The following is a 5,996-nucleotide window of genomic DNA, read 5'->3' on the forward strand; positions in this document are numbered from 1 at the left end:
TTTTAGTAGAGACGGGGTTTCACCATGTTGGTCCAGGCTGGTCCCGAGCTCCTGACCTCAAGTGATCCACCCACCTTGGCCACCCAAAGTGCTGGAATTACAGGCGTGAGCCACCGTGCCTGGACTAGAATAGCTTTCTAGAGGTGGGACTGCAGATACTAGGGAATGTGAATTTAAATTTATGAGAGATACCAAAGGATTTAAAAAAAAATTTTTTTTTGAGACGGAGTCTCACTCTGTCGTCCCGACAGACTGGAGTACAGTGGTGTGATCTCAGCTCCACTGCAACCTCCGCCTCCCAGGTTCAAGTGATTCTCCTGCCTCAGCCCCCTGAGTAGCTGGAATTATAGGCATGCACCACCATGCCCAGCTAATTTTTGTATTTTTAGTAGAGACGGGGTTTCACCATGTTGGTCAGGCTGGTGTCAAACTCCTGACCTCAGGTGATCCACCTTGGCCGCCCAAAGTGCTGGGATTACAGGCGTGAGCCACCGCACCGGCCCTAGCAAGGATTCTTAACTTGCAATATATGGTTAAGTTTCAGAAATTATACATAAAATGTTTGTCCATGTGTGTGTGTGATTTCTAGGGAGATCCATAGATTTTGTCAGATATTTAAAAAGTTTCAAGTCACTGGGGTACAGGGGGCCGGCACTTCACTACAGCAGTGGACCATGTGTAGTATATTTGCAGGTTTTGAGCAATTTTATCAACCAGGTACTTGTCCAGCAAGGGTCACTGTCTGTGCAGCTACCGGACCACCTGCAAGGAGAGCAGATGACAGCATTCCCACGTATCTCCTGCCCCTAGAGTAAAGGTGAAGATCCATACAGACCACAGTCATGGTACCACCTCCTCTTTAGGTCTGATTAATTTGCTAGAGTGTGCCGGGCACGGTGGCTCATACCTGTAATCCCAGCACTTTGGGAGGCGGAGGTGGGCAGATTACCTGAGGTCAGGAATTCAAGACCAGCCTGGCCAACATGGCAAAACCCGGTCTCTACTAAAAATACAAAAATTAGCAGGGCATGGTGGCAGGCGCCTATAATCCCAGCTACTCGTAGGCTGAGGCAGCAGAATCACTTGAACTCAGGGGTGGAGGCTGCAGTGAGCTGAGATCTCGCCACTTCACTCCAGCCTGGGTGGAAGAGCAAAACTCTGTCTCAAAAAAAAAAAATTTTTTTTTTCCGCTAGAGTGGCTCATAGAACTTAGGGAAGCACTTGCTCATTTTTACTGGTTATTTTAAAGGATACAAACAAACAGCCAGATGAAGAGATACATAGGGTGAGGTCTGGGAGGGTCCCAAGTGTAGGAGCTTCTGTTACCATGGAGTTGGGGTGTGCCACCCTCCTGGCACGTGGATGAGTTCTTATTCACTTTCCTGTCAGCCTCCACCTGTTCAGCTCTCCAGAAACTCTCTGAACCCAGTCCTCTCAGCATTCTTTGTCCCAGGGTATGGGGTAGGACCCTCTCTGGAATGAGGGTCTTATGACCCATGATCAGAAGGGCAGGGCAAGATTAGAGTCCTGCCTTGGGGCAGGTGAAAGAGAAGCAGGAAAAAGTCAGAGAGATTCTGTTTCCTGAGGCCTGCTCCTGAGTCCTAACACTCTCAACATTATAACGAAACACTGTATAACAAGGGCTATGGGAGTTATGAGCCAGGAACCATGGATAAAAACATATATAAATTCACACATATATTAACATCACATCTATCAACGAGGTTGAGCATTTTTTTCATATGTTTATTGCAATTTGCATTTTCTCCTTGGTGAGCTACCTATTTTATGTTGTATATATTTTCCCACAGTAAAAGAGAAGGAAATGATTTACAGCTCTACATAGTATCCTGGAGAGACAGTCATGAAAATTGTTAAGAAAAAAAAAATCCATGTTTCTCTGAATAGTAAGATGTGTGCGTGTGTGTGTTCACAGAAAAAGGAAAGGGAGGATATAAACCAAATTGTTAATATTAACGACCTCAGGGAGTATGCAGTATTTATTGTTTGGCTATAAGAAGGGGCATGAATTTAGAGGTCAGACCAGGCTCAAGGCCCTAGCTCCACTACTGATTTGATGTGTGACATGGACGAATAACATGCCAGTTTCTTCATCTGTAAAACAGGAAGAGAAATAGAGCTGTTGTGAGTAGTAGATATTACAACAGTGCCTGTCACAATAAAGTGTAGCTATTGTCATCATATTATTATCTCCTTCAGTGTCTTCTTCACTGTACCATATCTATTCTTCCATTCAGGACTTCTTTATTGGGACTGTAAAAAGATTTAAGTATCAAAAGAGAAAAACATAGAAATAAAAACAAAATACAAAAAGCCTAATAATGAGGGGGTTCACATAGTACTTGTTTCTGATCCCACTAGAACTAGCTTGCCTCTGAGGCCATCCGAGATATCTAAGCTTTGGCCCTAAAGAACTGCCACAAATTTGGAGACGTGGCCTACATTTCTTTCTTCTTGGTCTGTCTTCACATAGAAGGTGCTCTTAAGACACACAGCCTAGGAACCTCCTTCTCAACACCTCCACACCTTCACTTGCTCTTTGCTATCCCTACTGTCACCCTCCTCTTTTCTCCTGCCACATCAACAGCTTCTTGCACTGCAAATGTTTTCTGGAACTCTCCCCATGACTGACAGGCTAATAAGGAGTTATTTTATTTGCTGTTTGAGTCACAAATACCATTTTTATCCAATCCCAACTTTGCCTTTTTTGTAGGGTTACTGCTACATTAATGTTCTCTGGCTTGAGAAATCTGAAGCCTTTAGGCAGTGATTAGATTTTTCCTACGTGCTTTACAACACTTCACATTCAACAAATTCATTAACGATAAACAGGAAATAAACCAACAATTTCTCCTGGTTTAGTTCACCCTTAGGACACGCATCTATGAAATCAGAAATCTTATTCCTGTCAGAACAGGATGGCCATGTGCTTCCCTGTTAACAAAGAAGTCTTAATTTTATTAATTACAATGCTTACGACTAAAACAAAGCAGGACCTCTTTCCATTGATTTCACATGATCGCCAGAGTCTCTCATTTCTCTGCTTCCTTCTGCCATCTTTTTTTTTGAGACGGAGTCTTGCTCCGTCGCCCAGGCTGGAGTGCAGTAGTGCGGTCTCAGCTCACTGCAAGCTCCACCTCCCGGGTTCACATCATTCTCCTGCCTCAGCCTCCCAAGCAGCTGGGATTACAGGCGCCCGCCACCACGCCCAGCTAATTTTTTGTATTTTTAGTAGAGATGGGATTTCACCGTGTTAGCCAGGATGGTCTGGATCTCCTGACCTCGTGATCCACCCCGCCTCGGCCTCCCAAAGTGCTGGGATTACAGGCGTGAGCCACCGTGCCCCGCCCCCTTCTGCCATCTTTATATTCGTTCATTTTCCGTTTCCTTCCCTTCCTTTCTTGTCTCTCCCTCTTGAACATTTCTAAGCACCTTGTGTGTGCCAGGCATTCAGTAACAAAGCTTGAGCAAAACAGCCCACCTTCTCATTATCATGGAGCTTACAAGCCTAACTGGGAATTGGAGACATTCATCAAATAATCACCAAATCTATAATTTGAAACTGCACTTAGTGCCATGAAATAAAACACAGGCCCCTGTGACAAATCTGTGTAGATGAAGGCTTCATCCAGGAAGTGGTAGCTGAGCTGGAGTGAGAAGGATAAGGAGTTAGCCAGGCATCTCCCCACATTTAGAGCGCCGAGTGGGCAGAGACCAGGATTGTTATAGCATTTGCTCCTGGGTCTGACTCACAGATGTGCTCATAAATATTTGTGGAAGGGAGGAAGGGACAATACGAATAATATAAAATAAATGAAAATGTGTCCTCCTTTGTTTTGATACTATGAAATTAATAAAATTAACTGCTACTAACTAAAAAATCCAAGTAGAACACAGAAAGGAGAGTGTGGCACAAGGTAAGGTTGCAGAAGTAGCAGCCAAATCACACTGGGGCCTTGAGTATGTAGAGATTTTAGTCCGTATCCCGACAGCAATTGAAAGCCACTGAAAAGTAATTCACAGCAAATATAGTTAATTTTTTTACAGCTTACATTAAAACAAATTATGTACTAGATACTGTGCTAAAGACTCTACTTGCACTATTTGAATCCTTGAAACAATCCTATGATGTACTATTAATATTCCAATTTTACAGAACGAGGATACTGATGCATAGAGAGGTCGTGACTCCAAACCCCTACTCTTACTGTATTACACCTACACACTATTCACAAGTGAGAGAAGTAGGTAAGCAACTATGTACAGCTAAATCTCATCTCCTTGGCAGGCCTAGCCCCACTGTGGAGTTGGTAGCACAGGGGTATCAGGATTTAATGAGCCAATCATTGACTTTACGCTCCTTGTTCTGACTCCCTAATAAAATAACCTTCTAGTTATATTCTGGCTTCCCATATAGATTTTTCTGCTGGGAGATAATGCACTGACCAGCCTACACACGCATTTTGTTCCAGTTGACAATTTTATTACACATTGTAAGTTAATAAATTGGCATTCTCCTTTAAAAAATAACAAAAAAATTTAATAGTCTTATACAGTTACTTTCCCATGAAGGGTTAGCTTGAAAAGTAAAAAGCAACGAATAAAAATATCATCACCTATTGTCTCTTTTGTGGTCGAACCTTTTCTTGCTGCCTGCTTTGAGCGACCGTGGATGTGGTCACTGAGTCTGGGGAGGAGCCCTTTATCTTCTTTGTGGATGCCCCCAGCACAGCCCAAGTGCTTCCTTTGTTTCCCACTGAGCCTTTAGCAAATCCCACCTTTCCTCCTGCACCGACGGAGAGGATTGTTCTTGGGAATGCACCTTGTTCTACTGCCGCCAGCAGTAGGCAGCTGGAGACTGTTACTAGGGGTCTCCTTCACCTCCCCAGCGTAAAGTACATCCCATGCTAGGAGCAGGCCGTTCCCTGAGAACCTCATTAAACCCGGCGTTCTTGTCACGCGCTCCGCTCAGGGCCACCAGGCCACCAGCCCGACCAGACCTGCACCGAGGCCCAGCCCCAGAACAGGCTGCAGAGACCCCCGCCCCCAAGGCGGGCTCCCTCCAAACGGGACTCCATACTCCTTGCTGGCTCAAGTTTTGTTTCGCTCTTTTTCCCTGTAATTCCTTTATTGGGCAAAACTGGGACAAACGCAGGTGGACATTTTAAAGTGAAAGCTTCATGAAACAGCCCATTCCACGCCGTCAAGAGATCTGCTTAAGCACATTCAAGGGAACGAATAGCCCCCACCCACCAAAAAAGAAATGTTCGTTCCATATTCTCCTGAACAGAGGATTGAAACATCGATTCCCCCCCCCTTCAAAGGAACAGGAAGGCCACGGGGCAAGGACGGACTTGGGAGCGGCCTCCTTTCTCTCTGGAGGGAAAGGCTGGAGCGCTGCCTCCACTTTTAAGTCCACGAACCACGAAGGGTGAGGATCCCTCAGAAACTTTAGCGCAGGGGAGCGGGCAGGAGGGCGATTGTTTAAATCGATGGCAGCACCTTCATTAATCTGCTTTCCGGCCATCTTCAGCAGAGCCATTCACCAGGAAACGACTAGAAGGTGGGCCTGCGCCCCTCAGATATCCCGGGGCCGGCAACGAGCCGGGCAGGGACGCCGAAGGAAGGCCGTGAGGAGCCCTCGCTGGCCGGCCAAGATGGCCACCTTCACATGGCCGACCGCCACCGGCTCCCTGCCACCCGGCATCTAGAGGCGGGACGGCCAGAAAGACCCCAGCCGCAGCACAAAACCTCCGCGATTCCCGCCGCCTCCGCTGGGGGACGCGACCTCCGGGAAAGCTATCCCGGCCAACGGTCGGAAGGGAGGTGCCATGTCACCGCACAGGGGAGCGGGTCCAGCAAGCCCCAGTCGCTTTTTCTCCCACATCAAACAAGGAAGAGCAATCCCCCACGTCTCCTCGCGTCTGCATTTTTCTCCTAGCTCTAGCGGCTCAAGATAGCTGAACGGTCTCTGG

At 46.5% G+C, this 5,996-nt stretch overlaps 1 long non-coding RNA gene across 1 annotated transcript, besides 3 other annotated features; it reads right to left on the reverse strand.

Annotated features, from left to right (window-relative positions):
• On the reverse strand, positions 4,488–5,907 carry PARTICL (promoter of MAT2A antisense radiation-induced circulating long non-coding RNA). Its single transcript, NR_038942.1, has one exon. It is a non-coding gene; the product is annotated as a promoter of MAT2A antisense radiation-induced circulating long non-coding RNA (long non-coding RNA).
• Positions 5,107–5,196: an enhancer, noted in NCBI's record as "active region_16127". NCBI's record gives its function as "activates an Ori minimal core promoter by ATAC-STARR-seq in GM12878 lymphoblastoid cells {active_cell/tissue: GM12878}" and the evidence as "EXISTENCE:reporter gene assay evidence [ECO:0000049][PMID:35858748]".
• Positions 5,597–5,806: an enhancer, noted in NCBI's record as "active region_16128". NCBI's record gives its function as "activates an Ori minimal core promoter by ATAC-STARR-seq in GM12878 lymphoblastoid cells {active_cell/tissue: GM12878}" and the evidence as "EXISTENCE:reporter gene assay evidence [ECO:0000049][PMID:35858748]".
• Positions 5,877–5,966: an enhancer, noted in NCBI's record as "active region_16129". NCBI's record gives its function as "activates an Ori minimal core promoter by ATAC-STARR-seq in GM12878 lymphoblastoid cells {active_cell/tissue: GM12878}" and the evidence as "EXISTENCE:reporter gene assay evidence [ECO:0000049][PMID:35858748]".

The sequence above is a fragment of the Homo sapiens genome, chromosome 2 (assembly GCF_000001405.40).
Source record: "Homo sapiens chromosome 2, GRCh38.p14 Primary Assembly".
NCBI lineage: Eukaryota > Metazoa > Chordata > Mammalia > Primates > Hominidae > Homo > Homo sapiens.